Genomic DNA, 17,999 nt, shown 5'->3' with positions numbered 1-17,999 from the left:
TAACATTGCTAAGAGAAATTAAAGACCTCCATAAATGGAGAGACATACCATGTTCATGAATCAGAATACTCAATACTGTTAAGTTGGCACTTCCCCCAAATTGATCTACAGATTCAATACGATGCCAATCAATGAGTTCTGAGTTATTCTAAAACTAGAGAAGTGCTCCAAATTATTAGAATGTGCATAATCATTACAACATTTAAATTTATGTTTCTCATTAGTTTGGTTATTAGATTGTATCTCTAAAGCATATGATTATGTTAATAATTCCCGAAGTTGTATGTATGTAAACTGTATCATACAATTATGTGAATAATTCCCGAAGTTGTAGGTATGTAAACTGTACCATACAATTATGTGAATAATTCCTGAAGTTGTAGGTATGTAAACTGTATCATACGATTATGTGAATAATTCCCGAAGTTGCAGGTATGTAAACTGTATGTTTTCTTTGGCTAGTACTCAGCCCTAGCATGTAGAGGGTGTCACTATTAGGTCACTTAAAGTATGCAGCTGGCTGGGCGCAGTGGTGCACGCCTGTAATCCCAATACTTTGGGAGGCCGAGGCAGGCAGATCATGAGGTCAGGAGATCGAGACCATCCTGGCTAACACGGTGAAACCCCGTCTCTACTAAAAATACAAAAAATTAGCCAGGCATGGTGACGGGCGCCTGTAGTCCCAGCTAGTGGGGAGGCTGAAGCAGGAGAATGGCGTGAACCTGGGAGGCGGAGGTTGCAGTGAGCCGAGATTGCGCCACTGCACTCCAGCCTGGGCGACAGAGGGAGACTCCATCTCAAAAAACAAAACAAAACAAAACAAAAGTATGCAGCTGTGCAAGGTAGTATAGACCAGTCAGGAAGAGAAATCACATGTACACGAAATTAAACGAAAGCAACCAAAATTCAATATTAAATAAGAAAAGAATTAAACAAAACCATCTTAGGTGAGACCAAACCATTTCTTCACAATTCACGCAGCTCTCCCTTGAGTTTGTCAGATTCTAAAGCCTATGAAATGCTATAATTTTGACTGAGAATATCAATGACCCAAAACTGAAAAAACTGGTTTACCCTGGCCAAGACCTCTTGTGCTCCCGTGCCAGAACAGAGATGCTCAGAACGAGGCCTAGCTCTACATAACACCACAACAAATATTCAATTATCCACGGGTCAACAGTCAGTTCTGAGGAAAAGAAAAATTTCTCCTTCATTGAGTCTTACATGACACATCTCTGGAAGACATACTGTAAAAGAAATCACACTTTAAAAAATTTCCAGAACTAGTCTTATACAGAAGCCTATGGTTTATAATTGTTGTAAAATTGTAGAAACATGCTAGTTCTTTAATTGTTTAATGTTCTTAAAGATAAACATCTATGACTTTAAAAAGCAGATTTTAAAATCTATTTTTAAATTAAAATAAACTAAAATAAAATTAGCTTTTTATTTTTAAAAATAATTTTTCGAGTCAGTATGTTCAGTTAATGAAAACAAAGCAGAAAATCCGGGGCTGTGAGCTGCTGTCTGAGCTGCCCAGTAGCCAACTCCACAGGTGTGCTGGGCACACAGAGCCCTGTCACCTGCCCTGTGTCCTGGATGCGCGCAGCCACGCGGGCCTGCATCCCCTGTCGCCCGCCCTGTGTCCTGTGTCCTGGATGTGCGCAGCCACGCGGGCCTGCATCCCCCGTCACCCACCCTGTGTCCTGTGTCCTGGATGCACGCAGCCACGCGGGCCTGCATCCCCCATCACCCGCCCTGTGTCCTGTGTCCTGGATGCGCGCAGCCACGCGGGCCTGCATCCCCCGTCACCCGCCCTGTGTCCTGTGTCCTGGATGCGCGCAGCCACGCGGGCCTGCATCCCCCGTCGCCCACCCTGTGTCCTGTGTCCTGGATATGCGCAGCCACGCGGGCCTGCATCCCCCATCACCCGCCCTGTGTCCTGTGTCCTGGATGCGCGCAGCCACGCGGGCCTGCATCCCCCGTCACCCGCCCTGTGTCCTGTGTCCTGGATGCGCACAGCCACGCGGGCCTGCATCCCCTGACGGGCAACACTCCATGCTCTGCTGCATCCTGTTTACACCACTATCTCTGTCCAGCTTCGAAGTACAGACAAAGGATGTTAACATTTACCTATATAAACGTGAGCATGTGCGTGCCCTGGATCCCTGCAGACCATGTGACATAACGAATGCACCAACCGAACTGTCCACACTAGCATTCAAAGGACAGGCCCAAACATCTTTAAAGTTAAAACCTCGGGTCACTACACCAAAATTACAATGAAGCAAAATCCAAACTGATGGCGCACCTGCAGGAAGAAAATAAGCCCCTACCTACAAAACTTAAAAGACCATTTTTCTTGTCCCCAAGTCGATGACGACTGTTGGATGAGGCCCATCCAGGTGACTCGCATTTTTATTACAATGATTCAACTTTAGCTTCAAATAAGAGGGGCTTTCTTTTTCTTTTCTTTGTTCTCGAAGTTATTTAAAGAATCTCATTCAGGTGTAGAACCCAAAAACCTGGATCCAAAATGCCAAGCGAGGCAAGCAGTACTCCACTGCCTTCTTGTGTTCCAGAGAGTGAAAGGAAAGAATAATCAGCTCTCAGCACTGATAGTACAGACCAGTCAGTTTTAATGAGAAAGAACCAACAGGTGGGGTGATTTCAACACACAGAGAGGGGGCCTTAGTGACGCCCCTGCTGCTGCAAGGCTGTGCCCGCCCTTGAGGGTTGGGCTGGCTCTGAGCAGATGCAGCCGCTCTAAACAGAAGGGCATGTGATACCGCAGGGGGCAGCTTCTCGCACTCTCTCCGGGGGCCTCGTCACAACTCAGAGCCCCTTAAGGTGTCTGCATCTGTGCTGCAAGATTACACTCGGACTCCCCAGCTAATCCCTCACAGCAAGGAGTGAGCCCTGGGAACCCCGGGCTATTTTAACAGCATATGATTTGGAGGTAATACTCTCTGTGACTTACATACTTCTAATCTTCATTCAAAATATTTGAGTCCCGGCCGGGGGCGGTGGCTCACACCCGTAATCCCAGCACTTTGGGAGGCCGAGGCGGGTGGATCATGAGGTCAGGAGTTTGAGATCAGACTGACAAACATGGTGAAACCCCATCTCTAATTTAAAAAAAAAAAAAATTAGCCAGGCGTGGTGGCCTGCACCTGTAATCCCAGCTACTCAGGAGGCTGAGGCAGGAGAATCACTAGAACCTGGGAGGCAGAGGTTGCAGTGAGCCAAGATCATGCCATTGCACTCTAGCCTGGGCAACAGAGCGAGACTCCATCTCAAAATATCTGAGTCCCAAAATAAATAATCCATAGAAGCACCTTATTATTCAGAATGCTAATCAATTTTTAACTTTGGAGACTTTTCCTTTTCAATGTTCCACTGCCCAATTTTAGACAGACAATTCTTATTCATTCATATGTGTTCACAAATTAGTAACTTTCTAATTTAAACATACTTTTTTTCATTGACATACTGGGATTATGTTCTTATCTGTTATTTCTCCCCTACAATTTTCTGTCAACAGCTTTCAACTGTTGGCAATTTTTATTTCTAATTTTCAGGACTTGTATGGAAAGATGCCCAGCCTGTACAACATGGCAAAACCTCATCTCTATCAAAAACAAAAATTAGCCAAGCATAGTAGCGTGCACCTACAGTTCCAGCCACTCGGGAGGCTGAGGTGGGAGAATCGCTTGAATCCAGGAGGCAGAGGTTGCAGTGAGCCAAGATTCCACCACTGTACTCCAGCCTGCATCACAGAGTGAGACTGCCTTTTAAAAAGAACTTACATGGAAAGAAATGTCAGACATAATAACATCCTTTTTTTTTTTTTTTTTTTTTTTTTTTGAGTTAGGGTCTCGCTCAGCCTGGAGTGCAGTGGCAGAGTCACAGCTCACCATAGTCTCACCCTCCCAGGCTCAAGCAATCCTCCCACCTCAGCCTCCTAAGAGATTACAGGCGGGTGCCACTGTGCCCAGCTAATTTTTTTTATTTTTTTGTGCAGATGGGGGTCTCACTACGTTGCCCACGCTGGTCTGGAACTCTTGGGTTCAAGTGATCCTTCCATCTTGGCCTTCCAAAGTGCTGGAATTATAGGTGTGAGCCATCGCACCCAGCCTCCTTCTTTAAAAGTCATTCAAATATACCACATTTAAAACTTTACTATGAAAGGAAATCACTCCACTAGGCGTGGTGGCTCACGCCTGTAATCCCAGCACTTTGGGAGGCCGAGGCAGGCAGATCACCTAAGGTCAAGAGTTCAAGACCAGCCTGGCTAATGTGGCGAAACCCTGTCTCTTCTAAAATTACAAAAATTAGCTAGGCGGCGTGGTGCATGCCTGTAATCCCAGCTACTTGGGAGGATGAGGCAGGAGAATTGCTTGAGCCTGGGAGGCAGAGGTTGCAGTGAGCCAAGATCGCGCCACTGCACTCCAGCCTGGGTGGCCGAGCGGAGTCTCAAAAAAAAGGAAACCATTCTTACATTTTCTTGTAATTCTGAATAGGATATATTTTAAATAGGATTTTAAATAGAATATACTTTTATCCTATTTAAAACTATGAGAAAATAGCAGAACGATTCTTCTATTAATCTTAATTTTTACAAATAATGGTTTTATTAGCAATATTAATAATCCCCATGCTGATATACAATAAATATATTCTACAATAGGTTGATTTTGCCTTGCCAATACAGTTCTTTCAAACCGGAAGATCTCACACATCTGGGTTAACTGGATTGTGCATCTGAGTCAGTATTAGGCAACTTTACTCTTATTTCACTGCTTGTTGACAAGTAGACAGACAACCACCGCAGGTCTGTGAATGATATCATTTGCCCCCAGCAGAGGGAAGCATGGGGGATTTCTGCCACGGCAGGTCTGTGACTAACATCACATGTTTTCATGAGCACAGACACTGTTACCCTCAGAAAGCAGGAGGACCCTGGGCCAAAGCAGCCCCAGAGGAGCTCCAGGTCCTCTTCCTCTTATCTTAAACTAGAAACTCAGATGGGAATGAATGCGTGACTTGGCCGAGGTCACCTCAGTGTCTGTCAGGGCAACTGTGACAGTCAGAGGCCCAAGCTCCGCCCTGTGCAGATGGAATCCAAGCAAGGCACCCTCAAGGCCAACCCACTACAGAAACTACACTCCAGCCTTTGGAGTTCTTCACAGAGGAACCTCTCCCCCCATCACACATTGTCAGCGGTGGAATCTAACGACCAATTTTGTCAACGCTTTTCCCAAGTGGTGACAATGACCTGCCCAGCACTGGCACAACGTGACAAGTGACAAGTGACACGTGATGGGCAGCTGTCCGCCAGCACGCAAGGCTCCGGGGACAGGAGAGGTTCGTTCATCCTTGTGTTTAATTCCTTAAAACAGTGGTTCTCAATGCAGGTGCCCAGGGGTGCTTTGAGATCCCGTGGGACATCTTTGGTGGTCAAGATTCAGAGAGTACTGGAATTTGGCAGGCAGAGGTAAGGGAGGTTGAGACGTCCTTCAGTGAGTGAGACAGTCTCACCCAACAAAAACTCTCCACACACATAACTTACAATGAACCAGAGCTTCATGAGTGGAAAACATGCTTCTAACTCTCTGAACTCAGAATCTTACTCTATTCAACATTTACACACAAAACATTTTTGCACAGTCTTACTATGACTTGAATTTTCCATGAATTCAACTATTACAAGTCTAGAAAAAATTATACTTTGCTTTATGTGAAAGTTCATTAGGAACTGCTCACCATTCTGTAATATTCTATCACCAGCTGGGGGCTGAACTCCCAGTGTCACACCTGGGTCCGTCTGCAGGGACTGCCCCCCGGTCACCAGGACGCAACATACCAGGTGGGACGTCCGGCTTTTTCACAGCCAACCATCATCATGTTGAAATGTGTTGTCTTATTACACAATACTATCACATTCATTCTCTATAGCTAGGACAGTCTAATAACTATAAGTTATAAATTACATTTTCTTTTTTTTTGAAACATAAATTATATTTTCTAAGAACTGCATTTTAGGGTAAGAGGACATTACCCCAAAAAACTATCCTAAAAAAAAAGGCATTGGGTCTAACAGCTTTGCACACCTGACCTGGGAGCCCAACAGCGTCCCTGCACAGAGGACACGGTAAACAAACTCCTGCTGGGGGGAGACACGTGAGTGACAGCATTTGTGCAGGGTGAAGGCCCCATCTCAGAGTAACACGTGAACGATCCCCAGCTCCCGCCTGCGAACTGAGATGCCAACTCCACCACCAGCAGCGGAGCTCGGAAGACGGCCGGGTAGCGTTTCCAAAAGCCCCGGCATGCCCGAGAGTTCAAAGAGGCACCACTGCTTCGGCCAGCACAGCAGCCGTCATGTGGAGCTGCCCCCAGACTTCCCACACCCCCTGGCGAGGCCCACAAAGCACCTAACCCAGCGCCAGCCACCAGCACACACGGGCAGCGAGGTCACAACAGTCCCTCCAGGCTTGTTGCGGCTCCCATTCCTCGGCGTCCACATGTCCTCCCCGGCGCCCCCGCTGCCGTCCCACCATTCTCTCTCCTCCCAGACACACCGGGCAGAAGGCTACAGCCAGGCCAGGGAACCTGAAGTGAGTAGCGCTCAGTCAAAAGGCCCCTCGTCAAGCACAAAGCCGTGCCGTGTCCACTGCCTCAAGCAGGACTTCTTTCTGGCCAGGCGTGGGGAAGGCTAGCGACACCAGAGCCTGCGCTTCAGCACGAGCTGTCGGCTGGAATATCTGACAGGAAGCCTCGGATGAGTGGACACCAAGCAGGTCCGAGACTTTCTAAGACATCATAAAGGTTCTACTCAAACAGTTTGCAAACTACCACACAGCTTTCTAAGATTAGACTCATTAGACTCTACTTTTTAAAAATAAGCAAAATAAAAACTGCAGACTTGAATGAAAAGTTTGATATATTCATGTGAAATGTATAAACACCACATACGAAGAAAAACATATGTAAAGACTAGCCAGGTAGAGTAGGAAAAAGGAAAGAAGCACATGTACATTTTCTAAGATCTGGTGGGTTAGTTCCAAAGAAAAGGTGCATGGGTCGGCTTTATGTGGAAAGGAAACGTGAGGATGACTTCAGGTCATCCTGGCAGGATGCCATGTGTTCGGTTTCGGTCTAACTAAAAGTCAGCTTTAGTTAGAAACTGCTGAGACTGCTGAGGCAGACACCGCGCATCTCCAGCAAACTGAGCCACTAAGCTGCGGGCCTGGGCGAGGAGGTGACGCGCTTCTCCCCAAGTGACCTGAAGGCCCCGGCACCCTGGTCTGTTCTTACCATCGCACTTTGTTGCACGTCTGGGTTGCCCCGAGAGGGGAGCCGGCCACCATGGGGACCTGGATGGGGCTGTGCTGCTTGTTCGTGACCAGATCCAGCTTTTCTTCTAAGGATTTACAAGTAGCCTCCAGGGCTTGCAATTTGGCTTCAATGCTATCCAACCGCAAGCAGATTGTCTGGTTGATGGAATACAGGAATGACTGGAAGTGAAAAAAGACCGGCTTTAGGAAGGGTCTCCTGAACTGTAAGAAGACAACCCCAAGAAACACCAAACAGCTATTTCCTGATCTCAACTCTATCTATTCAGACAGAACAATCCCCACACTGGAAATAGCCCGTGAGCTATGAGCCAGAAACATGTGAGTAACACGTCCACATTTTACACACGAGTCACACGTCCTGTTTCAAATGTGATGATTTAGTCATGGTTTCACTTCTACGTGCAGTTGCAATTCTTGGTTAAGCCCATTTAATTTTAAAAATGTACTTTAATATGTTATTATTAATCAGTAAATTTACACATAAAACTAGTCAAATCTTCTCAACAATAAAAACAGATTACACCTAACATCGACACAGCATAAAAGCCACAGGCCACGCACATTCGCCTCACAGCCCGCTGCCTAATGGGAAAAGGTGACGGGACCCCCTGTGGCCCTGACTTGGGATTTGGTCCTGAGGCTCCCGTGGGGCTCTTGAGCGGCAAGCTTGCCACCTAGTGGTTGGCAAAGCCGGGCTCCACGTCTGACCTTTCCGGCTGAGTCTCCTCCGGATTCCTAACTCCAAGTAACCAGTGAGCAGTCACGTGCCGGACCCCAAACCCAAGAAACAGAGAAACACACAAACCAGAAAGGGAAGAATTTCATTTCCCCAGCTGCCGTCCCAGCCAGGAGCCACCATGAGCACACGTGGAAACGTGTTAATCACACAGGAATTGCACTGTGCAAAAGAGACACCCTCCACCAGGTCTCACCAGCAGACAGAAGGACACTCCTTCAGGTCTAGGGAGGGACAGGTTGGGGGAGCGCCCACCAGCCCTGCTTAGTACTCAGGAAGGCTGGCACCTGCCTTAAGAATCAACAGCTGAAAACAGCACAGAATTCGTGTTTCGTCTTTTCTCTCTCCTTTCCTGCCCATGACCTAAAGAGCGTGGGGTCCAAAGTGTGCACATCAGAAGGAAGGGGGAGGTAGGCTCGAGACAGCAGGGGTGGCACTGAGGCAGCCACTGAGAGCGGGCCGTGGAGCTCGCAGCACAGGGGAGCGGGAGGCCGGCCCACATTGACAGGGGAGCGGGAGGCCGGCCCACATTGGAGCCGGAACGGCTTTCCCAATAACTGCAGCTGACCTACAACACTGCTTATGCCCACTCTCCTTTCTGATCTCAAGGGAATCTGCAGAATATCAAAACTGCAGTGATATCATACATCATGTAGCTGGCATGGAAACCTGGCGTACACAGTGGCAGGGACAGCCCTGCAGGAGGGAAAATCCACATATTGCCCAACAACTCGCCTTTTCTCAGGTCACCACCTCTCCTGGCAAGATTCACCACTGGGCGCTGATATAGACAGGAGCTAAAGAAACCAACTGAAACTCACCCTCCCTGACTGACTACTCTCTGTTGAAGGCGCGTGTGAGAGAGGGAAGGAGCCACGGCGTCAGGTGGACTCAAGCCCACGTGATGACACTCAATCAGCTTACCTACAAAGGAGGCACGGTCCCTGGCATGACAAACATGCATCGTCGTGAAAAGCAACAATAGGTGGCTGAATCCCTGAATGGCCACTGATAACGCCGCTATTTTCAACAACCGGAGAACATCAAATGTTTGGCTCTCAAATTCTTTACACAGTACACCCATGTTATTTTAATTCTGAATTACAAATGATTCTGCCTGGGGTTTTGGGAAAAATCACTCTTATATACCAATAAAACAACCTAGAGCCACGCACACGACTCTACGCAAGTCACATTCAACCGGGGGCCCACCCTCTTCTCAACAGTGGGACAAGGAGGAAGGCAGGGCCACTCCCGTGCCCACTTTATACATTTCTGTTCTATGTGCAACAGATGTGTGTTCTGTGATAAAATCAGAGCTGCGTTTTATTTAGGGAATGATAACGCAGTGTTTACTAACAGAGCCACATCCTATCCATTGGTTGGAAACAGGCATTTTACAGTCAATTTATTTGTAAGTTTTTCGTACACATTTACACTGCTTCTCCTTGTTAACAAAACAAATTAAATATTACCAAATAGACACCCTGTGTAAGTAGAAGAATTATATGAAAAGTGACTTTGGTTTTGTGTTGCTCTCATAACCTTCTCACATGTGCCGATATTTACCTCGGTGACTCTGCAAACACTGGAACCAACCAAGCAAATTCAAAGATCCAAAAATAATTCACTGAATGAGCAGTTCCCAAGAACCCCATCTAGTAAACTTTAGAATCTAAGTGACTTAAATGGCAGACACAGAAGTCATTCATCACTGGTAGAAACTTCACTTTCCTTCCATCCAAAATGGGCCTGCAGGTGTGTGGGAAGATGCCTCCTTCAGCAGCATCTCAAGGTAAACAATTCTTACTCTTTGTGCTCTTCAAGAGAAAAAATGGCTCACACTCTTCTGTAGCGGGCTGCCTGGTGATATAGCCACATCCTAAAGTGATATACCCACATCCTAACCGCCAGAACCTACCCATGTGGTCTCTTTGGAAACTGTGCAGATGTAATTTAGAAACTCTTTGGGTCTGTGTAGATGTAATTTAGTCAATGAGATCAACCTGGATTAGGGTGGGCCTTAAATCCAATGACAAGTCCTTACTAGAGGAGAGAAGGGGAAACAGTCACAGACACACAGAGGCGGCCGCAACATGAAGAGGAAGGCAGAGCTGGAAGGAGCCCCACAAGCTGAGGCAGGGCCGGAGCCACTAGAAGCTGGAAGAGGCAGGAAGGATCCACCTTCTAGAACCTTTGGAGGGAGCGAGACCCTGCCTGCATCTTGATTTTGGATCTCTGGCCTCCACAGCTGAGAGGCTACATTTTGAAGCCATCCCATTGATGGTGATTTGTTATAGCAGCCCTTGAAATCTGCAACGCACTACACACCACAGAACAGAGTCAGATTTTTACCTTTATAGATGGATCCTGGCAATTGATTTCTAGTCGCTGGCGTTTCAAAGCAGGTTCGTCTTCATCTGTCACTACATGATTCTCCAAAACAACTGAAATCAGTGACAGAGAAAAAAAATGTTTAACATGAAAAGTTTTACAGAATTATTTTAACATTAAGATAGTAAACAGTGCTGACACCTTAAGGTTGAAGGAGAAACAGCAGAACCTATCTCATATTTCACCTTTTTAAACTTATTCTCAGTCAGGCAGAAAAACAGGATAACTCCTTAATCCCAAGAAAAGCCCAGACACTGGGCAATTAATGTGCCACTGAGTCAGTCCTAACTCCAAACCTGCAAGCTTCTGACTTCTGACTCCATGCTCTGCGGGGCTGCCCTGTTTGGTTTGAGAAAACCCACGATAAAACCCAATCAATAATAATGATTTCTTCCCAACTTTAAAATAAAGTTTTATCTGTTGGTCACCTCATTCCAAAATCAAAGCCACCCTATCTGCAGGTCCAGAACTAAAAGGGGAAAAAATACACTGAATATCACATTGCCATAGGTGCTGATAATCAAAACAGTGTCAATCTTAACACACTAAGTGACAGAACCCCGACCCTCCCAGGCACAGCTGAGACCAGCTGCCCCCATCACACAGCAAGCGTCAGGTGATCGTCACGGCTTCCCGCAGGATAAGCAACTCGGCCCCAGCTCAGGGCAGCCACAGTGTGGTCCCAACCTCCTTCCTTTTCTCTAAAACTGATTACAAAAACAACGTCAAAGATAACCTCAAAATCAAAGACCAAAATCGGCCACAATTGCCTCATCTCTGCAAATCACATTTCTATCTGTCTGTGACCCTTCTAGTCCTTTTCCTTAGACCTAGTCAATTTTTTAAAATTTACACATTTGCAGTTATAGATAGAAGTTCAAGGTCAACAGTTCTTGTTAAAGATTGTACATTGTGTCATGAGTGTTTTTTCTTCTCATTTCCTTGCCTGAAATGACAGTGTGAACTGTCTAGTGCACTCCTACCGTGCTCTACTCTACATGCTCACACATTGAGATAAACAAACGGCATACATGTGGGAGGTGCGAGACCATCTGCCTCATCAACAGGTTTGTCTGCAGCCTTCCTCTTCACTGAGCAACAAATATGGACTCTGGGTTAATATTAATCGTTTTGTTTGGTTTTTGTTTTTGTTTTTTAAGAGATGAGGTCTTGCTATGTCACCCAGGCTGGACTCAAATTCCTGTACTCAAGGGACCCCCCACCTCAGCCCAAGTAGCTGGGACTATCCAGGTTAATAGGTTTAAGTTTTTAACAGTAATACCAGTGTGTGACTATTTACAAAAATGAATGCCAGTATATAAGAATAGATATTATATACGTGCATACATATGAGCATGCGTATTGTAACACTTCTGATAGAAAAAAATCAGAAATCTGAATGCTGGCCGCTGGGAATGCCCTTCAGCACATGCACACCTTGGCACACCATCTGCTTTCAAGGGCACCAACACCACAGCCAAGCAGGATGACCTCACTGTGGCCAGATGACACCTGCCCCGCTCTGCTGGTGCTGTGCCCCAGCCCTTCCCATACTGCCAACCCTCCAGCCACCTCCACCAGGGAAATCTAACAACCTTCTGTCCAGCCCCACTCAAATGCCGCCTAGTTCGGGAAGCCGTTCCTGGAAGGGCCTCAACTCACACCGGTTTATACTGTGACACCAACAAGGTCACAGCACCCACCCCACAGCAGACCACCCTCCCAGCACCTTACACACAAGGCTGCCCACCGATGTGGGTGAAGCACTCCTGGCTGGCATTCAGATTCTCCAGGTGCTAGAGGAAAGCCAAGTGCACAGGCCTCTCTGGTCCCTGCCTCCACCTCCACCAAAGCAACTCCCCTCAGACGTGTTACATACATTGACATTCCGAAGATCTTAACAGGAAAACAAAAAAGACTGTCCATGCCTTTAAGCCTGTACACACTAGATGATTCCTCTCAAAACTCTGAAACTTAAAGATGCTGAATCGTCCTGCAGTTCTAACAGGAACCTCTCACAGGTCCTAGGCAAAAGCAGTCAAATCCGATCTACCTGGTGGGAAATCATCCAAAGCCAAGGACCACTGTCGACCGATTTTGGTCTTTGATTTTGAGGTTATCTTTGACATTGTTTTTGTAGTCAATTTTAGACAAAAGGAAGGAGGTTGGGACCACACTGTGGCCGCCCTGAGCTGGGGCCGAGTTGCTTATCCTGCGGGAAGCCGTGACGATCACCTGACGCTTGCTGTGTGATGGGGGCAGCTGGTCTCAGCTGTGCCTGGGAGGGTTGGGGTTCTATCACTTAGCGTGTTAAGGCTGAGACTGTTTTGATTATCAGCACCTGTGACACACTGGTCACACACTGGTATTACTGTTAAAAACTTTAAGCTATTAACCTGGATAGTCCCAGCTACTCAGGGGCTGAGGTGCGGGTGTCCCTTGAGTACAGCACACGGCTATGCCTTCGGCCTCATGACTCCTCACAGGCAGGGAGCGCATCAACCATCTCCACCTAAGCCTTTGCAGATGAATTCTCACTTAATGAAACTTTTAAAACTCCATGCCTACAAGTGCCTGTGGTTAGTCAAAGGTTCTCAGGACCTCAGTCAAAGGCTCTACTCTCACTGGAAACCGGTCATCACACAAGGCCTGGAAGAACAGAGAGAGACCCTCGTACTCATTACTCTAACCTTTTAGTTTGCTGAGAAGAAAACAAGTCCAGGAAGGTTATGGGACTTCTCTGGGGTCACAGAGCTAGTTTCGTCATAACAGCAGAAGAGAGGCGTGCAGTAACTCCAGTAATGACTCCACAGGTAGTGGGACAGCAAGTGACATTTATTTTCTTCTTTGTACTTTGCTGCTTTTTGTATGTGTTCCTTTCTATAATTCTGTATGCATTACTTTTAGAATTCGACAAAAGAACTCCTTGTTCATTTTAAAGATATCACAATCAGGCTGGATGCGGTGGCTCACGCCTATAATCCCAGCACTTTGGGAGGCCGAGGTGAGTGGATCACCTGAGGTCAGGAGTTCGAGACCAGCCTGGCCAACATGGTGAAACCCCGTCTCTACTGAAAATACAAAAATTAGCCGGGCATGGTGGCGGGCACCTGTAATCCCAGCTACTTGGGAGGCTGAGGCAGGAGAATCGCTTGAATCCAGGAGACAAAGGTTGCAGTGAGCTGAGATCACGCCACTGCACTCCAGCCTGGCAACAGAGCAAACCTCTGTCTTAAATAAATAAAGATATCACAATCAATCAACTGCAGTGACAGGCCTGATGCAAGTCACAATTTTTGCATTCAGACAGGTAGAGTAAGCGCAAGCCATAGTTGGTACACGCCAAGTCAGATGATCCTAGAAGTCTTTCTTTTAAATAAAAATAAGGAAAAATTGGAAAGACATACACGTCAACAATTTAAAAGCTGCTACAACCAGTAGAATTATGGGAAATTTTTATTTCTTCTACTTTCTTGACTATCCTGTTAAACTTTATTAGATGCCTACGTTCAAGACAAGGAAAGTACTTTAAACCCACTATGAATGCAAATGTGCTTGACACATCAAGGTACCTGCAGCTGCGCACACCTTCTCCTGGGTCAGAGACTGCAGGCTTTGTACTGGGGCAGGCCTCGGAGCTCTGTGCACAGTAGGTTTTGTTTTTTTTTTTGAGACGGAGTCTCGCTCTGTCGCCCAGCCTGGAGTGCAGTGGCGCGATCTCAGCTCACTGCAAGCTCCGCCTCCCGGGTTCACGCCATTCTCCTGCCTCAGCCTCCTGAGCAGCTGGGACTACAGGCGCCCGCCACCACGCCCGGCTAATTTTTTGTATTTTTTTGTATTTTAAGTAGAGACTTCACCGTGTTTGCCAGGATGGTCTCAATCTCCTGACATCGTGATCCGCCCGCCTCAGCCTCCCAAGGTGCTGGGATTACAGGCATGAGCCACCATGCCTGGCTGACACAGTAGGCTTTTAACAAATACTCAAGAAATCGCAGTTCTTAGGCATTTAAGGAACAGAGTTGGAACAAAATCAAGATTCAAAATTATTTCTCTAAGCCTTCTTTGGACCACAGTCTACAAAGAGAGATTTACTGGGGAAGTAGGCTGTCAGAACTTTAATGGTTCTGAAATCACCAAAAATGATGTAACTGGAACACTTTCATTTTACAAGATTACAGTGTTATGTTTTCTAAAGAAACTGTCATTTGCCTTCTGAACTAGAAACAGGGATTTGTAAAATAATATGCAATGATGGTGTGGAAAACTAACCAGCAGCACTCCTGAAATGCTGCCTTCGTGTTCCCCTGGGACTGCTCACCTCACCCCAAAACTATTTCTACTGCCCTCCCCTTCCATGATACAACTAGTCTCCAAAGGTAGTTTTCTCGACTAACAAAGCAAACAGATCATATGAACGGACATCAGACTTTCTTAGGAGATTTCTGAAAATTCTCTCTTCTGGGGGAATAAATTGTGAGCATTTCAATTCAAACATTCCTGAAAGAATAACCAGGCAACTGAAACACTCAGTGACTTAACTGTGGTGGGCTGGTCACTTCAAACTTAACAGAACAATAAAACATATACTACTTTATGGCCAAAAAAAAAAAAAAACTTTTTAAAACAATAAGTGTGGACAAAGTGTTATCACAGATGAAGAGATGAAGTTCCTGAAATTTAGGGTTTCATTTCTCAAGGGTCTCCTTTAAACAAACAAACAGTTATGATTTCAAAGTAGACATGTGCCTTTAACACCATTTTTAAAAGATACCAGCCTTAGCAAAGGTGTAGAAAAAACTTGTTCTCAAGCACTGTCCGTGGAAGAATTAGTAAAACATTTCTAGAAAACCTGTCACCGTCTTAAAAAAATTTAAACACATGTAGCAATTCTACTTCTAGGAACTTATCTATTTGCCAAGATATATATGCAAGGATCTTCTCTATAGGGTTGTGTATAAAGGAAAAATCAGACAGACTATGCCAGGAGCCCTCTGAAAGAGAAGAGTCAACTGTGGAGGGGGCACCTGTGAATGAATCCTGCAGAGCTGCTAACAGAGCAGACTTACACACACAACATGGTAAGGTTCCATGACACCACACACAGGGGATTACACACACCACATGGTAAGGTTCCATGACACCACACACAGGGGATTACACACACCACATGGTAAGGTTCCATGACACCACACACAGGGGATTACACACACCACATGGTAAGGTTCCATGACGCCACACACAGGGGATTACACACACAACATGATAAGGTTCCATGACGCCGCACACAGGGGATTACACACACAACATGGTAAGGTTCCATGACACCACGCACAGGGGATTACACACACAACATGGGAAGGTTCCATGACGCCACGCACAGGGGATTACACACACCACATGGTAAGGTTCCATGACGCCACACACAGGGGATTACACACACAACATGGTAAGGATCCTGGACGCCGCACACAGGGGATTACACACACAACATGGTAAGGTTCCATGACGCCGCACATGGGATTACACACACAACATGGTAAGGTTCCATGACGCCGCACACAGGGGATTACACATACAACATGGTAAAGATCCACGACGCCGCACACAGGGACGCGGCAGGGGAGAGAGTGTAGAACACACGCATACCCCCAAGGAGTGGGAGCAGGGATGGCCCTCGAGACAAAGTGTCACAGGGGCCCCCTCCAGAAGGGACGTGGGGCTGAGGCTGCAGGGGCGAGGGAAGGGAGGGGCCGACAGTGTTCACATCTCTAGGATTCAAACTTTTCATACGCAGCATGCATTACTTTTTCTTCTGCTTAAAGGAAAGAAAATAACTGGAGCAGCTTTTGGTTTTTGAAGAATAAAGAGAATAATATTTCACCTACTGTCCCACAGCTCTGTACCTGGGTGGTCAGGGCTCAGGTCTTCCACTGCAATCTGAACCACATCGGCCAGGTCGTGTTCCGACATCATCCAGAGCACGGAGAGTGGCCGGTCAACACGAAAGAGTTCAACTCACAGTGGGGCTGGCTTTTGGTCACCTACCAAACAGAAGCAAAGGAGGAGGAGAGGACATTAACCATCGCTACACGTGAAATTATGAAAACCACGAGCCGAGCACGTGTATGCAAGAGGCCGCGAACGTCTGTGGAGTTTTACATGCAGGGTTCTTCTTGCCTCAAACCCCCAAAAGGTTAGTTTCTTTGAAAATTAACAAATAGTTGAAAACGCCACCCGCTGCCTCTTTCCTTAACCACTGGACGAGCCACCCGGGGCCTCTCCGTTTCCACTGTGTTCCTCATGCCCTTCCAAAGCCACCTTCCCAACACTGGCTTGGAAACGTCCTCTCCCTCAGCCCAAGTCTCCAGTGGGGCCTGACTGACTACAGCAAACGCTCTGTCGCTTCCTGCTCCCAAGGGGCCTCAGCCCTGCTACACTCACCACACCCCAGAAAGAAGCATCCCTTCCCACCCATACCACTGGTCTCCGTGGTGATACGCCACCTCTCCTCCCAAGTTTCTCCCAGCTGCACGCATCCATCTAGACTACAACCCATACTCCGTTTCTGCTACCCCACAGGCCCGGCGGAGTGGCAGCACCTCTGTTCTGCTTTCTTTCTGCTCTCAGGTTCTGTCCTGAGCCCGAGCAGCATCCTGCCACCATGACCAAGGAGGAACCATCTGTCCTGTCCACAACTGTGCTGTCCAGGGCGGGGCTGTCCCCGAGCCTCGCACAGTGTCTGAAACACAGTCAGGGGCTTTCCTCCAGCTCCTGTGACACTCTGATTGGGCTTCAAGAGAACTTATTTTCCAAAGTAAAAATAAGGCTGCATCATTCAAACTATGGTCTATGGACACACAGATCCAAATATAGTACTGCAAAATAGGATGCCGTAGAAATGAGGAATGAATGTGACCATCATGTTTTTATCAGATTATACTTTATATTTTAATTATTGACACATAAATGGTATAAAGTAAACTGTCTTCCCTGAACTACACTACACACTTCCTGAGGACAGAAACCCTGTGCCCAGCTCTGTACAGCACAGCCCTTCATCAGGAAGAGTCCGTTCACTGTCCCTAACCACAACCCCCATCGCAGAAGGAAAAGTAAGGTTTTCAGGTCACATGGTTTCAACTCTTGAGTCTATTCACAACTTCTATTCATGGATAAGTCCCAACAGGAATGAAATTACATAAGCAGGCCTCACCCGTGTCCTTCAATCCAATAAATAATGCAGTTCCTCCTCTCCTTTGTCTAGATTTAAATTTTACAGCTTAAATGGCAACTCTAGAATTTTTTTCTTTTTTCTTTTTTTTTTTTTTTTTTTTTGTGATGGAGTTTTGCTCCTGTTGCCCAGGCTGGAATGCAATGGCGCAATCTCGGCTTACCTCCACCTCCTGGGTTCAAGCAATTTTCCTGCCTCAGCTTCCTGAGTAGCTGGGATTACAGGCATGCGCCACCACACCCAGCTAATTTTCTATTTTTAGTAAGACGGGGTTTCT

General features: G+C 46.7%; 1 protein-coding gene across 32 annotated transcripts in view, besides 2 other annotated features; it reads right to left on the bottom strand.

The window, feature by feature from the left end:
- The window catches only part of BANP (BTG3 associated nuclear protein), a 128,081-nt gene that overhangs the window by 85,739 nt on the left and 24,343 nt on the right, over positions 1-17,999 (bottom strand). For 17 of the 32 annotated variants that reach the window (NM_001384925.1, NM_001384918.1, NM_001384916.1 and 14 more), the window contains 3 exons: positions 16,395-16,532; positions 10,453-10,544; positions 7,321-7,520 (listed from right to left, as the gene is read on the bottom strand). In NM_001384925.1, the coding sequence (NP_001371854.1) occupies positions 7,321-7,520; positions 10,453-10,544; positions 16,395-16,464 (362 nt within the window). In that variant the 5' untranslated portion in view covers positions 16,465-16,532. Of the gene's footprint in view, positions 1-7,320; positions 7,521-10,452; positions 10,545-14,063; positions 14,428-16,372; positions 16,533-17,999 lie in introns of those variants that run through there. The other 15 variants (NM_001384931.1, NM_001384936.1, NM_001384928.1 and 12 more) reach the window with 4 other exon arrangements.
- Positions 7,869-8,461: an enhancer, noted in NCBI's record as "H3K4me1 hESC enhancer chr16:88016725-88017317 (GRCh37/hg19 assembly coordinates)". NCBI's record gives its function as "activates a minimal SCP1, AML or CMV promoter by ChIP-STARR-seq in primed H9 embryonic stem cells {active_cell/tissue: H9 hESC(primed)}" and the evidence as "EXISTENCE:reporter gene assay evidence [ECO:0000049][PMID:30033119]".
- Positions 16,387-16,907: an enhancer, noted in NCBI's record as "H3K27ac-H3K4me1 hESC enhancer chr16:88008279-88008799 (GRCh37/hg19 assembly coordinates)". NCBI's record gives its function as "activates a minimal SCP1, AML or CMV promoter by ChIP-STARR-seq in primed H9 embryonic stem cells {active_cell/tissue: H9 hESC(primed)}" and the evidence as "EXISTENCE:reporter gene assay evidence [ECO:0000049][PMID:30033119]".

This window comes from Homo sapiens, chromosome 16 (genome assembly GCF_000001405.40).
Source record: "Homo sapiens chromosome 16, GRCh38.p14 Primary Assembly".
Taxonomy (NCBI): Eukaryota; Metazoa; Chordata; class Mammalia; order Primates; family Hominidae; genus Homo; species Homo sapiens.
Note: the sequence above shows the minus strand (reverse complement) of the source record. Positions and strands in the feature narration are given on the sequence as shown.